Genomic DNA, 25,977 nt, shown 5'->3' on the forward strand with positions numbered 1-25,977 from the left:
ACTGTGAGTCCATTAAACCTCTTTTTCTTTATAAATTACCCATTCTTGGGTATGCCTTTATCAGCAATAAGGAAATGGATGAATACACATATAAACTTTGAAAGATGGCCAAGCATAGTAGTTCATGCCTGTAATCTCAACACTTTGGGAGAACAAGATGGGAGGATCACTTGACCCTAGGAGTTCAAGACCAGCCTAGGCAAACAGCAAGACCTTGTTTCTACAAAAATTTAAAAGTTAGCCAGGCAAGGTTGTGGCAGGCCAGGTCTCCATAATGGCTGAACAGGTAGGCCTCCATAACAACTGTTTCAGCACTGACTGAGTGGTTAGGTTAAATATTAAAAGCTGATAGCATCAGTGCCCTATACAAAGGCTTGAATGTAACAAAAGCCCACCAAGAGTTTTGCCTAGGCCTTTCCTGGGCCTTAAAGCATGACAAAATAATGAAGGAATTCTTAACAGGACCCATTTAGGATTAAACAAGTTTTATTGTGGATCTTAAGGAACTCCCCAGACCTTCACAAACAAGCTTTACTGGGGACTAAAGGAACTCCCCAAAACCCTGTGATTTAGCAGGACACAAGATAAGGGTAATCACCCCAGCACCTTCACCCATTTAGATTAAATGAATTTACGAAGGCTCCAAAGGAAGGCCTTCAGGACTCAGATCTTAGTTATAGATTAGAAGAAGTTAATCACTTACTTATGTCTTTAGATGAATGCACACGTACACATAGACATATAGCTTAGAAGGTATATAAGCTCTGGAAAACTTTGTAATTTTGAATTGTTCTGGTGATATTTTCCAGACCTCCCTGTACCCAGTTACAGCAATAAACTCCCTTCTTTCCCAGTTCATCTGCATCTCATTACTGGGCCGCAAGAATAAGCAGCCCGACCCTCAGTTTGGTCTGGGAACAAGGTGAGGTGTGCCTGACTATAGTCCCAGCTACTCAGGAGACTGAGACAGGAGGATCCCTTGAGCCCACGAGTTTGAGGCTGCAGTGAGGTATGATTGTACCACTACACTCCAGCCCGGACAACATAGCAAGACCCCATTTCTAAATAAATAAATAAACAAACAATTTTGAAAGACAAAATATGTAGTGAGATTCTCAATCCCTAAAACTGATTTGATTTTCTGAACTTCAAATTCTATTTTTTTCAAAGAATATCTAATGTATTACAACAAGCTGTTTTAAAAAACAAGATACAAAACCACATGCTTATTTTGCCTAATTCTTTTTCCAATTATTTTCCCAATGAATACATATTACTTTTTATTTATCCCTATTGCTACCAGGGACAGAGCCTGCTATTTCAAAAAGAAAATCTAATTGCAAAGCTGCTGCCTCTCTGTTTTGGGTTAACAGCACCTCTTTCCAAAGGCCTATTCACGCCTCCCCAACCTCCTCCCTTTCTACCAGGCCTTACCCATGGCTCAAATTTTCTTCTGCTGACCGCTCTCAGTGACAGCCCACATGTTCAAGTTCAGCTGTCTCTCACCTTAGCTGGCAGGTGCCTCAGCACTATCAGCATGCAGGATCCTCTCCAGGCAAGTGACCAGCCGGATCCTCTTAATTCTCAGTTGACAGGGCGTATTGACACCCCTGGAAACCTTTTCCAGGCTTTCTGTGTATTCTTTCAATGCTTGCCTTTAGCTGAGAATGGAAATTCTCACATATGTGTGACAAGTACAGTGGGGGTCAGCGGGGGGTGGGCCTTGGGATGTTTTTGTGTTTGTCCTTGCACAGGCAAAGTTCAACAGCTTTGTAACTGTTTGTTTTAAGCTTAAAATGTCTGTGAGTTTGGCCTTCTGACAAGCAGAGGATCAAGGACAGATGCTGCTGCTTAGGAATACATTAAAAATCAATGATGCCAAAGGGCAGCTCCCACCAACTCCATCTTTAGCTCTCCCTGCCAGGTATGTGTGGGCATAAATTAGCAAGGAACCGGCCTGAACAGGATGAGAAATCTTCAGAGACTGCCCTGAGCATAACCCAGAATCAGGACCTGAGAAAGATTTCAAAATGGCCAAGTGGTTTTTAGATAGGGCCATTTCCAAGAAGAGGCTGGAGACTCAGGGAGGAGTTACAGTTTGAATCTGAAGGCAGATTCAAGAAGGTGGGGCCAAAGCCATACCCCTTGAATGTCACAGTGGAGGTAAGGAAGAGTATGTCTGAAATACAGGAGATACCATAGGACGTCTCTCAGTATTCCCATGCCCTGTGATTAAAGTCAGTGGAAAATTACAACAACCCAATCCAGGCAGAACTACTAATGACCCCAGACCCTTTAGGAACGAGGGTTCTGGTCACCTCACCAGGCAACGATCCATGGCCACTCAGGTGCTTGCTGAGGGCAAAGGGAATATGGAATGAGTAGTGAAATAAGATAGTTATCAATACCAGCCACAACTACATGACCAGGTATAAAAACCAGAACTGTAATTGTCATGAGTGTTTCTTCCTTATTTTGTTATGAATATGTTAGTGTGCGTATAGCACCTTTGTTTTCTTCCCTTTCGTATTCATTTATCGTGTAACATAAGATGCATTACTTTATCTCATAGAATTTAATATTGCTAACTTTACATCATAGTGTTTAAGTTACAGGATCTCAAATAAGTAAATATCACCTGTGAACCCTCAAAATGAGACAAGTCTCAATCAATTTAGGAAGTTTATTTTACCAAAGCTAAGGACGCACTCCTGTGATACAGCCTCAGGAAATCCTGACGACGTGTGCCCAAGGTGGTTGGAGCACAGCTTGCTTTTATACATTTTAGGGAGACATGAAACATCAATCAACATATGTAAGATGAACATTGGTTCCCTCCGGAAAGGCAGAATAACTTGAAGCAGGGAGGGGGCTTCCAGGTCATAGGTAGATAAGAGACAAATGGTTGCATTCTTTTGAGTTGCTGATTAGCTTCTCCAAAGGGGCCAGCAGAATATGCATTTATCTCAGTGAGCAGAGGGGTGACTTTGAATAGAATGGGAGGCAGGTTTGCCTTAAGCAGTTCCCAGCTTGATTTTTCCCTTTAGCTTAGTGATTTTGGGGCCCCAAGATTTATTTTCCTTTCACACACCTAAGGACTTTGTATCCTCTTCTGGGAAAAGGATTAGTGCAGTAGGATGCAGTTGTAGCAAGGATAGTTGTGTCATGTTAGACAGAACTACGATCTTGTTATTGTCTTTACTTGAAGGTGAAGTATGATTTAAGGAGAGATGTGTGGGTCCCAGATTGACAAGGAGCAGACTGGTGATGATTAATTTTACATGTCAACTTGGCAGGAGTGAAAATTGTAAATTCTTTTTCTGTAAAGGTTTTATTATGCAGAGGAGGGGCTCAGTCCTTGGCAGCTGCTTTCCTCATGGCGGCTCAGTACCCAGATATTTGGTCAAACTGATAGCCACGGGATGCAGCCAAATGCATTGGCAGGTGGGGGTGGGTCCCTGGTGAAACCCCACCTTCCAGCCAAAAACAGAGCTGAAAGGCTGGACTGCTGGTCCCAGACGAAACCCACGACTCAGACTTAGAACTTCTGTTCCTGTTTGCCCACCCTTTCCTGATTGATTCTTTCTGAATAATGCCTTTTAACCAGTTGAATGTTGCCTTTTCCAATACTACCTATGGCCTGCCCCTCCCCTATTCTGAGCCCATAAAAAGCCCCAGACCCAGCCACTTGGGGAGGTGAGAACCACCCGACTGTGGGGCTGGGGGGCCACCCCCTATGTCCCCTCTCCGCTGATAGCCATTCCGTCACTCAATAAAATTCTTCTCCACCCCCATCACCCTTCAATGTCCAGTATATCCTCATTCTTCTTGGTGTGGTACAAGAGCTCGGGAACCATTGAATGCAGGTACAACCTATAACACAGGCAAGCTGGGGCATGCCAGCCTGGCTGAGGGAGGTCTGGACAGGACATCGCCAGCTGGGGGTTTCCAGCTTGCAAAGTGACCAAGAACAAAAATCCTACCTCAAAACATTATTCTGGTTGTTTTTGTGAAGGTGTTTTTTGAATGAGATTTGACTGATGGAATTTGAGTAAAGCAGTTACCTCTATAATCTGGGTGGATTTCTTCCAATCAGCTAAAGGCCTTAATGGAAAAAGACTGACTTCCCCAGGAAAGGAAGAAATTCTGCAAGCAGACTGCCTTCAGATTCAAACTGTAACTCCTCCCTGAGTCTCCAGGGTCTTAGCCTACTCTACAGATTTTGGACTTACCATGCTGTTACAGGAAAGGGGTCCCAATCCAGACCCCAGGAGCAGGTTCTTGGATATCATGCAAGGAAGAACTCAAGGTAAGTCCATAGAGTAAAATGAAAGCTAGTTCATTAGGAAAGTAAATGATTTTTAAAAATGGCTACCCCATAGGCAGAACAGCCCTGAGGGCTGCTGGTTGCTTTTTTTTTTTTTTTTTTTTTTTGGCTATTTCTTGATGATATGCTAAACTAGGGGTGGACTATTCATGCCTCCCCTTTTTAGACAATTTAGGGTAACTTCCTGATGTTGCCATGACATTTGTAAACTGTCATGGCGGTGGTGGGAGTGTAGCAGTGAGGACCACCAGAGGTCACTCTCATGGCCATTTTGATTTTGGTGGGATTTAGCCGGCTCCTTTACTGCAACCTGTTTTATCAGCAAGGTCTTTATGACGTGTATCTTGTGACCTCCTATCTCATCCTGTGACTTAGAATGCCTAACCATCTGGGAATGCAGCCCAGTAGGTCTTGGCCTTATTTTACCCAGCCCCTATTCAAGATGGAGTTGCTGTGGTTCAAATGCCTCTGACAAAGCCTCTACAGTCGTATGAGACAATTTCTAAACTCTCTCTTTCTGTCTCTCTCTCTCCACACACACACACACACACACACACACACACACACACACACACGCGCACACACACCACTGTATATAGACTGGTTCTGTTTCTTTGGGGAACTCTGACTGATATACTCACTCAGTGTGGTCTGCTTCCTAGACTGGAGTCTGATACAACGTTGAAATAGATTCCTCTGCTGTGGAATTGGTCTGTCTGCGACCTGGAGCATAAGTCAGGTAGGGGCCTGGTCTCAGGCCAAACAGGACATGTGAAACTTGCTTTTCACCCCCTCCACCCCCTGGGGTCTCTGTAGTCCCTGCCATCCAGGTGCTCACAGCCCAAGGAAGGGAACAGACACATCCGCAGCTTCCTCCCTTCCAGGACAGCTTGGGCCCAGTGAGGCAAGTGAGGCATAGCCATGGAGCTCTGGGACGGGGAAGGAACTACTCCTCCAGCGTGGGGAGGGTCATGTAAATTAGGCAAAGCCATGGAGCTCTGGGATGGGGAGGGAACTACTCCTCCAGCTTGGGGAGGGTGATGTAAATTAGGCGTAGCCATGGAGCTCTCAACGGGGAGGGAGCTACTCCTTCAGGTTGGGGCGGGGAGGAGGGTAAGCTGCAGGAGACAAGGATGGCCAGGGAAGCTTAGTCCACGTTCACCGGCCTTTGTTCAGAGGGCACTGGAGGTGCATTAACTTTACACAAAAGCATCTCAAAGACCAAAAAGCCCTCAAGACCTAAAGAAGTGAGTCTCAAATGGTGGTGTTCCAGGTTCCTGAAAGAGATATTTTGAACAATGGGGCCTTCCCAAGCATCCCCCAGACCAAAACATATTATTAATTGGCAAAAAGAGAAAAAGAAGATCTCAATTAAATAAAAAGGAGCATGACTACTTTCAGTGTCACCCTTCCTTCTCTCACCATTGTCTACCAGCTCCGTCATTACCCGTTTTCCTCAAAGATGTTTGCTTCAGCCTCTCCCATCCTTTCCCCTCCCTTCTCCCCGTTCAGTCACCCAGACGCTCTCCTGTTCACCACTTACACGCAGCTCCCTGGTGCATCCCTCTGCACCCAGCATTACAGGGAGGCCGGGGGAGGAGCTAGCAAGGACCGGATCACCAGGGGGTTGCTGTCAGGACTACCCTTTCCAGCAGCTCCAGGTGGTACCTTGGGACCTGCCCAAAGGCAAACACTTGGAGAAGGTTCTGTCTCAGGAGGGTGATGCAGGCTGTGAACAGGGTGTCCGCTGTGGCCTGAGCCAGTGGCCAGACTGGAAGGAGGAGAAATGAAGAAGCTGAAGAGAAGAGACTGGGGAATGGCTGTGGGGGAGGCTGGGGAGCTTATCTCCTCCAGGTAATGTGTCTTCAGGGGCGTCTCTCTGACTCACGGCAGATTCACTGGGTAATGGGTGTGTTCTTAAGGCAACGCAACCACCCAGCAACACGTCTTTTTTAGGAAGCCCTGGCCAGCCAGGGTATCTCTAGGTTGTCCTGGTTTAGCATTGCCTCCTAGCCGGAGACTTCTTGAGGCTGACTAAAGGTTGCTGGAAGCTTTCTTGCTTCTTCATCCCTCCTACTTCCTCAGGTTCTGCAGCCAGGCTCCAGTGCAGGAGAAATTCAGCTTCCCTCGCTCAACATCCTGCTTCCTCTCTCCAATCATTAGGTCAGGTCTGGGGAGATGAAGGATGTAGGACACAAGTTGGGGTCAATTAGGGGAAGTCAAGGAGAGTATGGGGCATGAGGAATGCACAATAGGGATATTGGGGAGAGCTGGAAACAAAAGACCACCAGATTGAGTAGCCTAGTCTCCCAGTGCTGACTGAGCTAGAAGGCAAGGCTCAACTGGCAGTGGGAAGAGAAGTGAGTTCAGACATGCCAGGCTGTCCTTAGAGGTTATCCCTTGAATGGCTGCGTATCATCCTCATGATGTGAGGCTGTGGCTGCCACAGCAGGGGAGCGTGGAAACCGTGCTTGCAGGAAGAGTGTGTTCTTCACGATGTGAGGCTGTGGCTGCCATAGCAGGGGCCCGTGGAAACCATGCTTGCAGGAAGAGTGTGTTCTGACAAGCAGAGGCTGGCTCAGGAGATAAGCCCCCACCCCCACACAAAAATAATAGAGCTCCATCCAGAGTTGAGGGGACTGCAGCCAGAAGGCAGAGTTCAGAGTCATATCCCAAAGGGTGCCAAAGAGAGACATCCCATCAAGACACTGCAATGGCGAGGACAAAAGGCAGGAAAAAGAAATGAAGTATAAATAAAAGAAGACAAACCACCATTACTCAGGTACTAACTAGTATTATTAACCCAGAATATTTAGGAAAGTCAGCGCTAAAATTATTAGAATAATAATGGAATTCAGGAAATTGGTTGAATACAAAACAAATGCAGGGAAAAATTAAAAGCTTTCCCATTCAGAATATATAGTAGAAGAAATGATGAAAGTCACAATGGTAATAAAACCTAAAGACAACAAGAAAATGTAGAGTCATAAAGAATGTATGTCATCACTGAGAGACATGAAAGATGGATTGAAAATAAGGAGATGGGCCGGGCGCGGTGGCTCACACCTGTAATCCCAGCACTTTGGGAGGCCAAGGTGGGCAGATCACCTGAGGTCGGGAGTTCCAGACCAGCCTGACCAACATGGAAAAACCCCGTGTCTACTAAAAATACAAAAACTAGCTGGGCGTGTTGGCACATACCCGTAATCCCAGCCACTTGGGAGGCTGAGGCAGGAGAGTCTCTTGAATCCGGGAGGCAGAGGTTGTGGTGAGCCGAGATCATGCAACTGCACTCAGCCTGGGCAACAAAGTTAGACTCCGTGTCAAAAAAAAAAAAAAGAAAGAAAGGAAAAAGAAAAATAAGGAGATATACCATGTTTTCAGATAGGAAAGCAACACTATAAAAGATGGATCTCCCCCCCATATTTATCTAGAATTCAGTGCAGCTTGGAGGTGGGAGTGGCAGAAGGAAATGTGATCAATTGATTCTGATGGATAAATATGCAAAATTATGCAGGAAAACATTTTAAAATGCATCATAAGATAAAAACATACTACAAAACTACGCTAATTAGACAAGTATGTAAAAACATTTTTTGAAATAAAACTTTTTTAATTAAAAAGACAATGACATGGTGCTGGTACGTGTATAGAAAAAGCAGATTAATGAAACAAATAGGCAGTTCACAAACAGATCCACAAATTAATGAAAATTTAATACACAAGTAGAGTGGCATTACCAATGAAAAAGATTGTTTAATGGCGTAGAAACAATTGTACATTTATATATCACACACATAATAAATTCTACATGAATTAAAGATCAAAAAATAAAAACTAAGACTATAAAAATACTATGAGAAAATATAAGAGACTATTTCTATAGTCTTGAGGTTGGAAAGGATTTGCTAACTCTGACACAATATCCAGGACACATGGAAGCGAAAGATTAGACGACTCAAAAACCTAAACTTTTGTGCAAGAGCGCTACCATTCACATCATTGCCAGGGAGAAAACATTTGCAACGTACATAAAAGATAAGAGTTAAAAATTCACAAACGTAAAGTGTTTCTACACATGAATAAGAAAAAGAGAAACAAACTAATTGAGAAAATACACAAAGGATAAATAAATCACAAAAAAGAAAAGCATCGCTAATAAACCTAAGAAGACACACTGAATTATGATGAATCATAATTTTAAAAACGCAAAATAAAAAAATTTTTGGCAATCAAATTGGTGAAGATGAAAAACACTGGAGACAATGAGGTGCTGGCAGGAGTGAAAATTGCCATCTTTTGTTCTGTAAAAAAAGGTTTTGTTATGCAGAGCAAGGGGAGCTCAGTCCTTGGCAGCTGCTTTCCTCATTGTGGCCAGGACGTCACTCAGCTCCTCTCACCTCCTCTTGGTGTGGATGTGTGTCCCCACCCTTTTCTTGATGAACTTGAGGGCCCATTTGTCTTTGGAGACCTTGAGCAACTCCATGGCATGCCGCGCATTCAGGGCAAAGCCACGCACCTCTCAGATCATGTCCTGCTGAACTTGGTGAGTGTGCCTGAGCTTGCTTACGTTGCTGATCACCTGTGCCCTCGCTGAGGCCCTCAGCCGGGGGGTAGTACAGAGCCATGGCTGCTGCTCTCCGATGGCTGATGTGTTGGAAGAGTGAAAACCGCAATAGGTTTTGAAAATAATTTAGCAGCATGCATGATACCCATTGACTCAGCAATTCCATTCTAGGACTCTAGCCTACAAAAATAGTAACATGTGTCACAAAGATGTGCATACATAGGTATTCGATGCAACAGAAAAAAATGGAAAATAACTTAATGATGGAATGTTTAAAGAAATGATGGTCCATCTATACCAAAAATATCATCTGCCCATCAGGCTGCTCTTCTGGGATGGCCCTTCCTTGCATCCTGGCCTTCTCCATGCCCCAACCCTTTGTACCTGATTCTTGTTGGAACGACTCTACCTTCCTGGCCCCAGCTGATTAATTCTAGTGTTCCCTTGATCCATGGCAGGCCAATCAGAGCCAATGAGAAAGAGCCAATCTAAAGATATATAATATTAAGCTCAGAAGGGATCCTGAGCTCAAGATAGGAGGCCTCTTAGAAACCACATTCCCCCCCACCCGTTCACTGAGGCACCAAAAAAAATATCCATCAAGATTCTCCAAGGTAATCAGAGGAGCAAAAAATTTGACATTTGGGGAATAAGGCGGCCCCAACTCTCACCTCCAGAGTTCCCCTCCCCGTAGGTATCCCCCTGCATTGCTACTACCACCCCAAGCTGTCCTCAGGAGGGACTGCTCTCCACTACCTTTCCACCCAGGCACAGGTGCAGACCTCATTTGAATGGGGTCTGGGAGAGCAGAGTTGTTCTGAAACCAGGCTAAGACATTTGTGCAGTCTTGGCCAAAGGCTCAGAGCTAACTGAAGGGAATCTCACACATGTGGTAAGGCAGCCTCTGATTCTGGAGGTGATAGCAATGGAGGGACCTGAGAGATGCCACAAGCACAGCCTAATGCGGAGAAGTTCCTGGGGACAGCCACTCCGATCTACGCCCATCTTTCCTGGGGTCAGCCACTCCGATCTACGCCCATCTTTCCTGGGGTCAGCCACTCCTATCTACGCCCATCTTTCCTGGGGACAGCCACTCCTATCTACGCCCATCTTTCCTGGGGACAGCCACTCCTATCTACGCCCATCTTTCCTGGGGACAGCCACTCCTATCTACGCCCATCTTTCCTGGGGACAGCCACTCCTATCCACGCCCATCTTTCCTGGGGTCAGCCACTCCGATCTACGCCCATCTTTCCTGGGGTCAGCCACTCCTATCTACGCCCATCTTTCCTGGGGACAGCCACTCCGATCTACGCCCATCTTTCCTGGGGACAGCCACTCCGATCTACGCCCATCTTTCCTGGGGACAGCCACTCCTATCTACGCCCATCTTTCCTGGGGACAGCCACTCCTATCTACGCCCATCTTTCCTGGGGTCAGCCACTCCTATCCACGCCCATCTTTCCTGGGGACAGCCACTCCTATCTACGCCCATCTTTCCTGGGGACAGCCACTCCTATCTATGCCCATCTTTACCTAAGCTTTTGGGATTTCTCTAGCATTTCTGCTCCCTGAGGCTGGGTGAGACAAAAAGCAAGTGTTCTCTTTTTCCTGGTTCTGAGGGCAGAAAGCCAAAGGCAAGCCCTGAAGAACGGTAGAGCCCACTCTTCCTGGCTGTTCTTTACTATCTGTCAGTTCTCTGAGGGAAAGGATCTTCAAGGAAAGCACATCACAGGGACAAAGTTGTGAAAAAGTTCTACTCTGGAGTCTAATAAGAAATGAATGGCCAGGCGTGGTGGCTCACACCTGTCATCCCACCACTTTGGGAGGCTGAGGTGGGTGGATCACCTGAGGTCAGGAGTTTGAGACCAGCCTGGCCAACATGGCGAAACCCCGTCTCTACTGAAAATACAAAAATTAGCCGGGTGTGGCAGCACACACTTATAATCCCAGCTACTTGGGAGGCTGAGGCAGGAGAATAGCTTGAACCCGGGAGGCGGAGGTTGCAGTGAGCTGAGATCGCACCACTGCACTCCAGCCTGGGAGACAGAGTGAGACTCCATCTCAAAAAAAAAAAAAAAAAAAAAAAAAAATTAACATTTCAGTAGATCTACACACTTCTCAAGTCAAAAAGTGGTATCCAGTTCCTGCCACTACCTAGCTGTGTGGCCTTAAGCCTCTCCCACTGGACCTCTAGCTCTGTGTTCACAGAATGACAAGCCAGGCTTCGGTAAGACTGAAGATCGCTCAGAGTTCTCATTTCCATTTTTTTTTTTTTTTTTTTTTTTGGAGATGGAGTCTCAATCTGTCACCCAGGCTGGAGTGCAGTGGCGCGATCGCAGCTCACCGCAACCTCCACCTCCCAGGTTCAAGCGATTCTCTTGCATCGGCCTACCGAGTAGCTGGGATTACAGACGTGCACCACCACACTTGGCTAATTTTTGTATTGTTAGTAGAGACAGGGTTTCACCATGTTGGCCGGGCTGGTTTCAAACTCCTGACTTCAAGTGATCTGCCCACCTTAGCCTCCCAAAATGCTGTGATTACAGGCATGAGGCACCGCGCCCGGCCATGATTCCCACCATTTTTTGCCAGCCTGATGCCTGTTCAAGTCCCCAGGAGATGCGTATCTTGGGCACGTGAGCTGGAGACAAGACAGAAAGCCTGAAAGGAGCCGAGCATCCATTCCCAATAGGAAGCAGCGCTTGGGAGAAACTGCAGTGAACCAAACCGGTGAGAGGCTGGAGCTCTCCACCTAACTGATAATCAAGCTGCACGTTGAGTTAATTGTCTAATTAAATATCATCTAACAATTTATCACCGAACATTTTAGGTACATAAGACTCCCTCAAATATCATGAGCTTCTGCCGGTGAGGAGTGACTTGCCGTATTTGCAGTCGTAATTGCTTTGCCACTCTGCTAGGAGAAATTAATCTGACTGTGACAACTTAGTTTTGGCCAGGAACAGTAACACATTCCATCTAATGGACTTAAATTAATTAGAATCAGGCTTTGCAAGATGCCTCTAAAATCTATGGCTGAACAAATACGGGTGCCACACAGTGGTGGACACTTGTTCTCTTAATAAAATTACTGTATAAAAATGCACCATTTTGCTTCCGAATGCTCAATGGAATTTAAAGCGGTAGCAACCTCAGTCCTTACAGGGTGTTTATAACCTTGCTTCTTGACCACTACTCTATCTCTCAAGTCCTTTGGATACTCCAAGCTGTATTTTTGTTTTCTTTTTTTTTTTTTTTTTTTTCTGAGACAGAGTCTCACTCTGTCACCAGGCTGGAGTGCAGTGGTGCAATCTTGGCTCACTGCAACCTCCACTTCCTAGGTTCAAGCAATTCTCTGCCTCAGCCTCTCCAGTAGCTGGGATTAAAGGTGCCCGCCACCACACCCATTTAATTTTTTGTATTTTTAGTAGAGATGGGGTTTCACCATGTTGGCAAGGCTGGTCTTGAACTCCTGACCTCGTGATCCACCTGCCTCAGCCTCCCAAAGTGCTGGGATTACAGGCGTGAGCCACTGCGCCAAGCCCAAGCTAAGTTTTAGAGGTCTTTGAGACCCAGGCCAAAGGACTGCCCTGGAAAAGCAGTGACTCTCTCCAAGATCCAGGTCTATGGTGGCAGGGCCAGCTGGCAGGAGAGTCAGGGCTTGGCAGCTTCTTCTGCAAGATGCATCTGTGCTTCCTGCCACTACCAAGCCACCTGGCTCCTGAACGATGTAGCCTGTACCATTTACCAATGAGCTTTGAATACTCCTGCACTTCTCATGGCATTTGTCCAGAGTCATGCATCTTGACCTGTCCCCAAGTCCATTCTAATCTGTCCTAAACTTCCCAGCTCGTGTCTTATTTTACTGTCTTTGGACTAATCTAACCTACTCTTGTGTATGTTGTTTTATTATTTTTTTGGGGGGATGGAGTCTCACTGTGTCACCCAGGCTGGGGTGCAGTGGCACCATCTCGGCTCACTATACCGTCCTCCTCCCGGGCTCAAGCAATTCTCAGGCCTCAGCCTCCCTAGTAGCTGGGATTACCGGCATGCACCACCACGCCCGGCTAATTTTTGTATTTTTAGTGGAAACAGGGTTTTACCATGTTGGCCAAGCTGATCTCGACCTCCTGACTTCAGGTGATCCACCCGCCTCAGCCTCCCAAAGTGCTGGAATTACAGGCATGAGCCACCATGACCAGCCTAATCTAACTTTCTCTTTAAACCTAATGCTTTTCACCCTTTCTCACATTTTTGCATTCATTCTACCCAACTCCTTCCAGGTGTTCCCAGGCCTTGCAGGTGTTCCCAGCGGTACTGGGGAAGAGGGGCTTCTTATCATGGGAGAGATCTCTGAAGCAGAGGGACATCAGGGGCCCTGATCTGAAAGGGAGCATCGGTCCACAGTGAGGTGTCTTAGAGACGATGCAGCAGCAACAGGCCCTCACGTCTGCCCCCGCTTCTGGGCATCTGCCCCTTACAGAATATCCACATTCCATTGGCCCCAGCACCTCCAGACCAAACACCAACCTTGAAATGTTGTCAGTGAGACTTAAGTTTTTCAGGTCCTTGGTAAACACAAAACCACCTGCCTTTTCTATTCCTCCTGCCTCTGTCCTCCTCCTAAAGTCATACTGTCCCTTTTGGGGGGTCTACAAATACAAATTCTTTCATTTCACTCCCTTACGCCAAAAGGAGAGCTTCAGTCATTCAACACAAATTTATTGAGCACTTACTATTTGCCAAGTATTAGTCTAAGTACTGGGGATAGCTGGAAAAAAAAACACACAAATCTGTGCATTTGCGGAGCTTAAATTCTAATGAGGGAGACAGAAAATAAGATAAAGAAATGAAGATTAACAGTGCAAATGGTAATAATAAATTCTAAGGATGAAAACAAGAGGGAAAGGAAGATAGGAAGTTACTAGAGATGAAGGGTTGGTGGTGCAGTTTTAAACAGTCTCAGTCCAAATGCAATATTTAAACAAAGACTTGAAAGAGATGGAGTAGTGAGCCACACAGATATCTGGGGGACAGGAATAGATCCAAGATTTGTGGGACCCTATGTTGATACAACTTTGAGAGCCTCTTTAAGAAATAGAATATGAAATTATCAATACAAAAGTGGGTACAAGGCCTTGGGAGGGCCCATGTCGGTAAAGGGTGAGAAGTTTATGCTCCATTAGTCTATTGGTAATTCTGCTTCTGCTGGAGGAAGAGCATCCCATGTAGAGAGAAGAGCAAGTGCTAATGGCAGGAGCTTGTGCAAGGAGCATGCACCATGAGTTAGAACAGCACCAGGAGGCCAGGGTATCTGGAGTGCACGAATGAGAGGCTGCAGAGGAGGAGACATGATCAGAGAGGTAGTGGAAGCCAGATTACATAGGATGACGCCCAGGTTGAATGCAGTGGCACCATCTCGGCTCATTGCAGCCTTGACCTCCCAGATCAAGTAATCCTCCCACCTCACCCTCCTGAGTAACTGGGACTACAGGCAAACACCACTACACCCGGCTAACTTGTTATTTTTTGTAGAGATGGGGTCTCACTATGTACCTAGGCTGGTCTCAGACTCCTGGGCTCAAGCGATCCTCCTGCCCGGGCCTCCCAGAGTGCTGGGATTACAGCTGTGAGCCACTGCTCCCAGCCACTGGCAGTTTTTGGGCAGGCGAGTAATATGAGCTGACTTTGATTTTAAAAGAATCTGTCTGGCTGCTATTTGGAGAATATGCTGAAGCATGTCAAGGATGGAAGCAGGAGACCAGTTAGGAGCTAGTTGGAATAATTTAGGAGAGAGCAGATGGTGGCTCAAGCCAGGGTGCAGGCAGCAGAGGAGTGAGAAGTAGCTCATCTGAGCACCCTCAGAAGATACAGTCCACAGGATTTGCTACTGGATCCTTTCTGGGTAAAGGAGAAAGAGAGATATCGAGGATGACTCTGAACATTTTGTCCTGAGTAACTGGAAGGATGTATTTCCATTAACTGAGAAGAGGGAAATTTGTTTTTGTTTTCATTTTTTGAAACAGAGTCATACTCTGTTGCCCAGGCTGGAGTGCAGTGGCGTGATCTTGGCTCCCTGCAACCTCTGCCTCCCGGGTTCAAGCGATTCTCTTGCCTCAGCCTCCTGAGTAGCTACAATTACGGGCTCCCGCCACCACATCCAGCTAATTTTTTTTGTATTTTTTAGTAGAGACGGGGTTTTACCCTGTTGGCCAGGCTGATCTCGAACTTGTGACCTCAGGTGATCCACCCTCCTTGGCCTCCCAAAGTGCTGGGATTACAGACGTGAGCCACTGTGTCCGGCCTCTTTTTTTTTTTTTTTTTTTTTTTATGAGTAGGAATAGGTAATTATTAAGCTAGATGTGTCCAGTTTACCAGAAAGGAAATTGAAAGGATTTATAGCATCTATCTTTAACTTGCCAGTCTATCTTCAAGTGATATTATAGTGTACACTAGAGTATAAGAACCCAACACGGCGAAACCCCGTCTCTACTAAAAACACAAAAATTAGCCGGGCGTGCTGGTGCGTGCCTGTAATCCCAGCTACTGGGGAGGCTGAGGCAGGGGAATCGCTTGAACCCGGGAGGCAGAGGCTGCAGTGAGCCGAGATCGCGCCACTGCACTCCAGCCTGGGCGACAGAGCGAGACTCCGTCTCAAAAAAAAAAAAAAAAAGAACCATACAATAATCCAATTCCTCCCCTCTTGACCTTTCTGCTGCCATTTTTACACTTACTTATGCCACAAAGCCTAGGCAACATTGTTCTTAGTTTCATTTAAACATTTATCTTTTAAAGAGATTTAGACAATAAGGAAAAGAACTTCTCTATTTACCCACGTAGTTGCTCCTCATTCCTTTGTATATACTCGTATTTTCATCTGGTATCATTTCCTTCTGCCTAAAGGACTTCCTTTAACCTTTCTTGTTGTGTGGGCACTTGGGATAAATTCTTTCAGCTTTTGCATGTCTGGAAAAAAAGACTTCATTCCACCTCCTTCATTTATAAAGGATATTTAAGCTGGTTATGGAATTCTAGTTAACAGGATTTTCTTTTCTTGCTGTACTTTAAGGGTTTTGCTTAAGGATTTTCTTTCCTTTTGCCTTTTCTTGTCTTTTCTTTTCAACATATGGGGTCTCATGTATTACCCACGCTGGCCACAACTCCCGGGCTCAAGTCGTCTTCCCGCCTCAGCCCCCCGAGTTGCTGGGACCATGGTGCGTGCCAATGCACCAGGCTTTCCACTGTTTTCTTGCTCACGTGTTTTTCCAATGGGAAATCTGGTGTCATCTTAATCATTGTTCATGTATACATCTTCCTGTTCCTTTGATTCTTTTTAAGGTTCTCTATTGAACATTGATTTTAAGCAATTTGATTGCGATGTCCCTTGGTGTCATTTTCTTCACATTTCTTATGCTTGGGGTTCATTGAGCTTCTTGTATTTGTGGGTCTGTAGTTTTAATCACATTTGGATTTTTTTTTTTGCCATTATTTCTTCCAATATATTTTTCTGTTCTGTCTTACTTTTACTTTCCCTGAAACTGATTTTTGACTAGTCCATATGTAATGACATGTCTAAAATGTGCTGGAAAAAAGCATGGGTTTTTCTTTAAAGATCTCCCAGTGAGTTAGTTTAGTTGTTTGTTTGTTTTTTGGCAGTCACATTGGCTAAAGTGAGGTTTAAATATATATATATATATAAGTAGAATGTAAATAACTGCTATTCTTAAAAAAGAAGCAGCTGAGGTAAGAGGATTGTTTGAGGGCAGGAAGTTTGAGAGATCAGCCTGGGCAATGCAATGAGACCCTGTCTCTCCAAAAAAAATTAAAAGTGAGCTGGGCAGGCGCAGGGGCTCCTGCCTGCAATCCCAGCAGTTTGGGAGGCCGAGGCAGGAGGATCGCTTGAGCCCAGGAGTTCAAGACTACCCTGGGCAACATAGCAAGGTCTCATCTCTACAAATACAAAAATTAGCCAGGCGTGGTGGTGTGTGCCTGTGGTCCCAGTCATGTGGGAGGCTGAGGTGGGAGGATCACTTGAGCCTGGGATACTGCAGTGAGCTATGAGCATGTCACTACACTCCAGCCTGGGGGAGAGAGCAATACCTGTCTCCCAAATAAATAAATAAAAATTTAAAAAAGAGAAGAAGAAAGAAGTGAAAAGGAGAAAAATGATGAATAAATTTGAAAGCAGAAAATATTTAAACATTTATATGGGAAAAAATACATGTTAACATGTGTTATATTTATACTTATATTTTTACAGGTTATAAATATATACTATATATTTATGTATGTAAATATTTGTATTTCATATATTTGTATATTTTAGACATATCCTAAAGGATATGAAGAGATAAATGACAAAAAGTGGGGAGGAGAATATTTGCAACACATATGACAAAGAGCTAATTAACTTAATACACAAAGACCACTTAATATACAAAGATAAAAAAAATGTTGGGCTGAGCGTGGTGGCTCACACCTGTAATCCCAGCACTTTGGGAGGCCGAGGCAGGTGGATCACGAGGTCAGGAATTCAAGTTCAGCCTGGTCAACATAGTGAAACCCTGTCTCTACTAAAAATACAAAAAAAATCAGCTGGGTGTAGTGGTGGGCGCCTGTAATCCCAGCTACTTGAGAGGCTGAGGCAGGAGAATCACATCAACCCAGGAGGCGGAGGTTGCAATGAGCCAAGATCATGCCACTGCACTCCAGCCTGGGCGACAGTGCAAGACTCCATCTCAAAAATAAATAAATAAATAAATATAAATAAATGTTAAAAAGAAAGAAATGAGCAAACGATATAAACAGGTAGTGCACAAGAAAAAATGCAAACGGCTAAGAAACATATATAAAGGTGTTGAACTGTATTAATTTTTTAAAATACACAAAGTTACATATACCATTTTTCACCAGCAGGTTGACAGAGACTGGAAACTTAGAAGTGACCCACCCCTAACATTTGCAGGGTTAAAGCAACAGTACAAATGTGTACCCCTGTATCATACAATTACATATAGGAAAACTATAAATCAGGCAAACAGGCCAGGTGCAGTGCACGCCTGTAATCCCCGCACTTTGGGAGGCCGAGGTGGGAGGATTGCTTGAGCCTAGGAGTTTGAGACCAGCCCGGCTAACAGAGAGACCGTGCCTCTACAAAAAACAAAATAGCTGGGCGCGGTAGCGCGTGCCTGTAGTTCCAGCTACTCGAGAGGTTGAGGCGGGACGGTCTCTTGAGTGACAGGAGTGTGTGAAAGATCTTTAATAGATATTTTTGAGAAAAGCTAATTAAGGATCTGATGTATACTACGACCAACTGTATGTGTGTACATCTACATATCTATATCTATCTATAGCTGTATATATATATATAAAAATATATATATATATAAAAATATATATATATATATATAAAAAAATATATATATATATATAAATATATATATATATATAAATATATATATAAGTTTATGCTTACATTTGCTAAGAAATTTTCTAGAAGGAATTACAAGGGAGTTACTAAGAGAAGGGATACATGGGGCAGTTTTTACCTCATACTTCTGTCTGTTCAAATTTGTCAGAGCATTTGGTACTTCAAAAGAAAAACAATAACCGAAAAATACACTGAAATTTCTCAGACACATCTTGTAACAGCCTCTAGCCTCCATCAACACCAGCAACCAGAAGCGTCTCACTGTGCAGGCGTTGCGCCAGGCACTGGGCTACCCAACCACAATCAGAGTTGCCTTTCCAGGCCCATGGAATTTTGTTCAGCCAGTGGCTGCCAGTTAGTTCTCTGTCTTTGTTTCCAAGGTAGCAGGAACCCTACAGAAACCAGGAGAAAATATGTCACACCCCTAAATGTGTTTTCTTCACAGATTTCCCTAGAAGGCTGCCAGCCTGGGCAGTGGGTGAGAAGCCGCTCTGCTGGGTTACACATGGCAGGCCCAGCGCCCTGCAGGCTCAGGGAGGAGCTCTGCCCTGACCCAGCCGAATCTCACCCATGCAGGTGGTGGATCAGAGGACTTTCTGTGACTAGGAAAACAACTCAAAGGTCAGCCCTTCCCAGCAGTGAGTAAACACCCACATCCCCAGTTCTGAGAGAGGCCTGCAGAGGTGGCCTCTTCCCTAGTGAGAAGTCCTCCATGGCTAGTTATGGATTATTGGTCTGGGGGCTTCTGGACTTCAAAGACCAGCTGGATTAATCTCTGTATCCCGGTGCTTGGCACAGTGCCTGGCACATGGGTGATGTTTGCTGAATTGCCATCAGGGCCTGTCTCTTCTCCTGCCACTTTCCACACCTCTGCAAAGAGGTAACTGCTCTTGGGCTGATTCCCTGGAGTTTGAACCTCACCTCTCTGAAGGGGGCATCCTTTTGCAGGATGTGCACTGTACATCCAGGAAAACACACCAGATGAGGAGCTCCTGATGACTGGTTCACACTAATTTTGAGAACTTATCTCAGAAAATTTAGAAAATGAAGATGTCTAATAAAATACAATAAAAATTCTATTCCCCCTCCCCTTCCTGCTCTAACAGAACTGTTATGCTCCCCTGCAGCCATCTCAGGTGGGGAAAGTTTTTTGTTTGTTTGTTTATTTGTTTGTTTTTGAGACAGAGTCTCACTCTGCAGCCCAGGCTGGAGTGCAATGGCACAATCTCGGCTCACTGCAACCTCCCCCTCCCAGGTTCAAGGGATTCTCCTGCCTCAGCCTCCGGAGTAGCTGGGATTACAGGTGTGAGCCACCACGCCTGGCTAATTTTTGTGTTTTTAGTAGAGATGGAGTTTCACCATATTGGCCGGGCTGGTCTCAAACTCCCAACGTTGTGATCCGCCCGCCTCAGCCTCCCAGAGTGCTGGGATTACAGGCATGAGCCACCACACCCGGCCCTGAATGCTTTATCTCCTGGAGTAAATGTCCTCTTTGCTGACGACGGCCTCTTCCAGGCCATTCTGCCACTCGTGTGTCAGACTTTAGGCAGGATTTCATTGATGGACTGACCTCCATAGCCCCTCAGTCTAACAAGGAGACAACAATGGTGCTTTGGGTCTCCAGGTATCAGTTTCAACTCAGTCACTACATCAAGTAGCCCTCCGGACATCTGGGGATTCCTTTTTCTTCCGTGTACGGTCACCCAAGTACACGGCCACGGGTCCCCCTAGGGAAAGACTGGGGGAATCATTACACTCTTTTCTTGCCGGTGTTGCCGAGTTCATTCTTAGAGACCCAGCCACCTCTTCAGTCCATGGATTCCAGATCGGAAAATTGGCTTAGGTCAAAACAACTGAGTAAGGGACTGTAAGTTTGTATTAGGGCTCTGAGCCTCCTGCGTCTCCACTTGTGCCTCTTGCTGGCTGGAGGCGTTAGGCAGCACCTGTGTAGGTTGCCCATTTATTCTGCCCCGGGAGATGCTGTGCTCTGTGGACCACAACTCCCTGTGGGCCGGGCCTGGTTGGCTGCATGACTAACTCTGCAGGTCATTATGACCTCCTGGCATCTGGAAGCCAAAGGCCACCACCTGGCCTCTATGCCTGGGGGTAGAGGGGCTTCATTGCCATGGGTAGCAGTGAGCCCAGCTCTGTGACCAGCTCTCCTGTTTAGTGAGGTTGGTGCCTCTCACCTGAGCATTCCTGATGGTCGTGGTCAATCACCTGTTCTCTGGGCCCACCCCTCATACTTACCCCCACCCCCGGTGGCTCTTCTGGTCTCAGATGACATAGCCATCCCAGCGTGCCCACTTTCCTCAGGCTTTTTGTGTTTTCACTACCATCTTCCAGGGCTACTTAGTCATGTCCGTTGCCGCCATTGACACTGGCTGCCACTTTCTCCGGGCTTCTAAGAGTCACCCTTGAGTTTGTCTCATCACCTGGGGTCCTTACCAGGGTATTAAATTCGGCATCCTGAGAAAGCACCCCAAGGGAACTCTGCTAGGCCCAGGCTCCTTGATCAAGCCCCCAGGAGTGAGCAACCAGCGGCGTGTGCTGAGGAAGCCACGGCCTGCTTGCTAACCTCCCACCTCGTGCGTGCGCTGCCTCCTCACTTCCTTCGTCCTTTACTCTTACTTTCCTGGAACTCACTTCCTTTCGTCCTTTACTCTTACTTTCCTGGAACTCACTTCCTTTCGTCCTTTACTCTTACTTTCCTGGAACTCAGCCCCGCTGCCCAGAAGCACACAAGCTTTGCCTCAGGCTCTGTTTTCTAGGGAAATTGGGCCAAGGCAGAGGTCTTCATGATTTCACATGTTGTAAGAAGGGGGGAGGCTCTCATCCTGGCCCTGGAAGTGGGGGGTGCTCATAGTGAGTCCATCTAGCTAGGGATGAAAACGGAAAACTCAACGTCTATGGAAAAACACAAGGATTTGGAAGCGTCACATAAAGACTTAATCAATACAAGTTCAAACTATAATCCCTCCCTGAAATGACACAGCATTTTTCCACTGGAAGCAGCTGGGGGGCTGGTGCTGGGCTGCCGTATCTCCAGGCAGCAGAGGGCAGGGAAGGAGAAGGGCAAGAGCTCGTACCTCGGGTGTCCTTGGCTCACCGCCTGTGCTCCATTTCTGCATCTCTCGTGGTCCGTAATACTCCAGATCCTGCCACGAACAGGGGCGAGGGGAAGAGGAACTGGGCTCAGAATTGTTAAGAAAGACTTGATTTAGGAGAGCTGTGTCTCCGCACGGAGGTGGGATTGCTCATTAGGCAGAAGCTGGTGACCACCACACCAGGTGCCTTAAGATTTCAAAATCACAGGCCAGGCATGGTGGCTCACACCTGTGATCCCAGCACTTTGAGAGGCCAAGGTGGGTGGATGACCTGAGGTCAGGAGTTTGAGACCAGCCTGGCCAACATGGTGAAACCCTGTCTCTACTAAAAATACAAAAATTAGCCGGGAGTGGTGGCAGGCGCCTGTAATCCCAGCTACTTGGGGGAGGCTGAGGCAGGAGAATCGCTTGAACCCAGGAGGCAGAGGTTGCAGTGAGCCGAGATGGTGCCACTGCACTCCAGCCTGGGTGGCAGAGCGAGACTCTGTCTCAAACAAAACAAACAAACAAACAAATCACAGGTGTATGGAGGATGCACCTGACAGCAATAACTTAAGCATACCCTGAGAATGACCCTAGGCCTAAAAAGAATGTGTTTGGAGTTCTGAGCTAAGGAATCGGGAAATGGGGCCAACCTGGAGACTCATTCCTTATCTGCGAGGGGCATCTGAACCCCCCGCCCATCCTGTGGAATGGAGGCCATAGAGGGGATCCAGGCCCTTTGTTTTGGGTTAAAGGAAGGTTGCCAGGTGGAGGTTGCTAGGGGGAGGGTGCTAGGTGAAAATGCTATATAAACTGCATGCTTTTTACGAGTGGTTGCCATTCTCTGGTCCAGCCTGCTGCCACTGGACTGCCCTGTATGTAAGTCCCCTCAGGAAGCCCTGTGTCTCAGTCACTGGCCCCCAGCCTCTTCTTTGGCGTCTCGAACACACTACCAACGCTACTGCAGTCAACAGGGGTCTGGCACGACAGCAGGGCTTGCTTTTTTTGCTGTTATCGTTGTTGTTGTTGTTTTTGAGATGGAGTTTTGCTCTTTTCACCCAGGCTGGAGTGCAGTGGCGCGATCTCAGCTCACTGGAACCTCCACCTCCCAGGTTTGAGTGATTCTCCGGCCTCAGCCTTCCAAGTAGCTGGGACTACAGGCACACACCACCACGCCCAACTAATTTTTTTTTTTTTTTTTTGTATTTTTAGTAGAGACGGGGTTTCATCATGTTGGCCAGGCTGGTCTTGAACTCCTGACCTCAGGTGATCCACCCACCGGCCTCCCAAAGTGCTGGGATCACAGGCACGAGCTACTGCACCTGGCCCCAGGCTTGCTTTTACACAAGTTCAACCCCAGACACCTTCCAAGAATGGCTTCGTAGTCAGCAAGAGAGGAGGCACCCTATAGCACTCAGCTAGAGACAATATCACACCATATCCAGCAGGAGAGAGAAAGGTCGATCTTATGCCATAGGCTGACAAACTTTAAAACAGCTGTGTAGAAGGGCCCTGGTGACATAGGTTTGAAAGGGGTCGCTGCATTTGTCCAGTACAACATTTAAAGTCTGTTCTACTGTTGAGACTGATTTTCTTTCCTTACTGTCTGGAGCATCGTCTTATTCACAGGCCCGTTTATTCATCATGCGGAAACAGATGACCAGGGAATTCAAATCTAAATGATAGGTCTATCTCTGTATCTCAGTATTGAATAATAAAACCAATGATTTCTTCAGGGATTCCAAATCAGTGTTTGATAAAGATACAGGACCCGAGGGGAAAGAAGGGATCCGGAGCAAAAGAAGTTCAGATTAAATTTTCACTTAGCGTAAGATGCCCCTGACTCTATATCATGGTCCTCAAAGGTCAAAAGAGTAAAGAAAACACAAACTAGGACAAATGAGAAGGGGCCTATCCCCTAATGCCCGGTTATCCAGAGAGAAGGCAGGAAAACAACAGCTGCTGGAGAAAGTGAATGATGGTTCTCAGCCCTGGCTGCAAGTTAGAACCGCCAGGGAACTGTCAAAAATGCTAATCCAGACCGGGCGCGGTGGCTCACACCTGTAATCCCAGCACTTTGGGAGGTCGAGGAGGGCGGATCATGAGGTCAGGAGTTCGAGACCATCCTGGCCAACTCGGTGAAACCCTGTCTCTACTAAAAATACAAAAAATTAGCCGGGCGTGGTGGCGGGCGCCTGTAATCCCAGCTACTTGGGAGGTTGAGGCAGGAGAATCGCTTGAACCTGGGAGGTGGAGGTTGCAGTGAGCTGAGATCACACCACTGTACTCCAGCCTGGCAACAGAGCGAGACTCCGTCTCAAAAAAAAAAAAAAAAAAGCTAATGCTTGGGTGCCACTCCCAGAGATTCTCATTTAATGGGTCCAGGGTTTGGCCTGGTCGTCAGAAATCTTACACCTCCCCAGGTGATTCTAAAGTGCAGCTCCAGCACTGTTTTGGAGGTAGACCACTTCTGTTCCTGACGCTCTCTTGTCTCCATCTGTCACTCTCCCTCCTATTCTCCCTCCCTATGGGCCGCAACAGCTTGCTCCAGAGCTCGGATGCACGACTGACCCATTTGGGGAGTGAAGTGAGCTCTTCCCGCTGTGCCCTCCTGTCTACCGGTGCAGGAACTCCTTCCACTTCCTCCCTGTGATGTGAGTAGAATGAATTCCAACTCTCCTGGCAGCAAGTTGCATACAAAATAAAGCTTGAGGGAGAGCACTTTGAGTAGTCCCGAAAGTTCCCTCGTGGAAGAAAGACAGCAGCAGAAGAGGGCAGTGTGAGGGGCACACAGCCAGAATTCCATTCATTTCCTTTAGAGTCTATATCTAGCCAAAGAAAAGCCCTCACAGGGGAGAATCAAGGGTTCTTTTCCCCATTGACAACTCTGTGCCCACAACGCTGGTCTGTTGCAATGGTAGGGTGAGCAAGTAAAACTCGTAAAAATTTTTCAAAATTCTTTGAAAAGTGAATCAGTATTCTATCGGGCTCAGACAAACTATTTCTGCTGAGACCCATCTGGAAATGTGAAAACCTCTTTGTAGAAGGAAATTGCAGTTGATCTGAGTATTTTCTACAGAATTCTACATTCTGGACTTCCTAGAGACCTAATTGTCCTTAAAAAAAAAAGAAATGGGATTTTTTTAGTTTATTCTAATTGGAAATCAGCGACAGACATCAGAGGCAGAAGAGATAGCTGTTTTTTCTTTAAAACAAAACTAAATTGGGCCATCAGATTGCAATGGTAAAGTGCTTTTGAACCTGCCACATATGAAGTGCTTGGTAAAGGCAGTTTTTATTATCCAGAAGTGGTATTGGCTAGGCAAACCATTAAACAAAAGTCATGCTACTTCACTTTTTAATGAAGTCCAGGTGCAAATGGCCACAGGTAAAAAAGCAGTGGTAATAGGAGTTTAGAAAGGACAGCCTGGCAGGGGCAGGGGCAGGGGCAGGGGCTGGCGTGAGGGGATGGGCCGCAACAGGGAGAAGTGCCAGGAGTTTGCTTCTCTTCTCTCTGAAGCCAAGCAGGACCCTAAGAACAGCCTGGAACAGGGGTTCTCAAACCTCCATGTGCAACAAAATCACTCCCAGTTTCTGATTCAGTGGGTCTGCAGTGGGACCTGAGAATTTGCATATCTAAAAAGTTTCTGGGTGCTGGTGATGCTGCTGGTCTGGGAACCACACTTTGAGACGCACTGGCCAGGAGAGAAGAAGCAGAAAAGAAGGTCGTGCGATAATGCTGGAAAATCCACTGCTGGAACGAGGCCCTCAGGCTGCGTGAAACCAGACTGGGAACAGCCTCTTCTTTTCTTTTCTTTCTTTCCTTTTTTTCTTTGCCTTTTTTTAACTTGCAAATATATATATACCTTATTCTTTCAACCAAGCAAACACCACAAGATTTTATTTTGCTAAAACATGTTAATAACATTTATTTTATTTATTTATTTATTTTTTGGGAAGGAGTTGCACTCTTGTTGCCTAGGCTGGAGTGCAGTGGCACAATCTTCGCTCACTGCAACTTCTGCCTCCCGGGTTCAAGCGATTCTCCTGCCTCAGCCTCCCAAGTAGCTGGGATTACAGGTGCCCGCCACCACACCCAGCTAATTTTTTGTAATTGTAGTAGAGACGGGGTTTCACCATGTTGGCCACGCTGGTCTCAAACTCCTGACCTCAGGTGATCCGCCTGCCTCGGCCTCCCAAAGTGCTGGGATTACAGGCGTGAGGCACCATGCCTGGCGTTAATAACTTTTTTTTAATGACGATGACTGGAAACAATTTCTAGCCTCTGCATCTGGGCCACCATGCCCACTATGGTTCAAAACTCAGGCTTCTGGATTTTTTTTCTGTATCCTCTTCCCACCCCACACTGGTGGCCTGACGGAATTTCAACAGTGTCTTGGTGACAGCAATTTGAAGTTGTGTTAGCATTCGGAATGAAACAGGACTCTTAAGGCCAGTCAGTTTTGCCACTGATTAACCATGTCACTCCTCCCTCTCTGAACCTTGGCTTTCTTATCACTAAAGGAAGAGGTTTGGACAAGATGGTATGCATGAAAATGAT

The 25,977-nt window shown here is 46.3% G+C and overlaps 1 protein-coding gene and 1 pseudogene across 4 annotated transcripts in view, besides 2 other annotated features; both read right to left on the reverse strand.

Annotated features, from left to right (window-relative positions):
• BDH1 (3-hydroxybutyrate dehydrogenase 1) overlaps window positions 1-1,669 on the reverse strand; it is a 63,561-nt gene extending 61,892 nt beyond the window's left edge. For 3 of the 4 annotated variants that reach the window (NM_203315.3, XM_047448679.1, XM_047448680.1), the window contains exon 1: window positions 1,507-1,669. The gene's annotated coding sequence lies outside the window, so the exon portion shown is untranslated. Of the gene's footprint in view, window positions 1-1,434 lie in introns of all 4 variants that reach the window. The other variant, XM_005269352.4, reaches the window with a different exon arrangement.
• Window positions 4,666-5,167: an enhancer, noted in NCBI's record as "H3K27ac hESC enhancer chr3:197303211-197303712 (GRCh37/hg19 assembly coordinates)". NCBI's record gives its function as "activates a minimal SCP1, AML or CMV promoter by ChIP-STARR-seq in primed H9 embryonic stem cells {active_cell/tissue: H9 hESC(primed)}" and the evidence as "EXISTENCE:reporter gene assay evidence [ECO:0000049][PMID:30033119]".
• Window positions 8,364-8,910: an enhancer, noted in NCBI's record as "OCT4-NANOG-H3K27ac-H3K4me1 hESC enhancer chr3:197306909-197307455 (GRCh37/hg19 assembly coordinates)". NCBI's record gives its function as "activates a minimal SCP1, AML or CMV promoter by ChIP-STARR-seq in naive H9 embryonic stem cells {active_cell/tissue: H9 hESC(naive)}" and the evidence as "EXISTENCE:reporter gene assay evidence [ECO:0000049][PMID:30033119]".
• On the reverse strand, window positions 8,676-8,955 carry RPL36P7 (ribosomal protein L36 pseudogene 7; annotated as a pseudogene).

The sequence above is a fragment of the Homo sapiens genome, chromosome 3 (genome assembly GCF_000001405.40).
Source record: "Homo sapiens chromosome 3, GRCh38.p14 Primary Assembly".
Taxonomy (NCBI): Eukaryota; Metazoa; Chordata; class Mammalia; order Primates; family Hominidae; genus Homo; species Homo sapiens.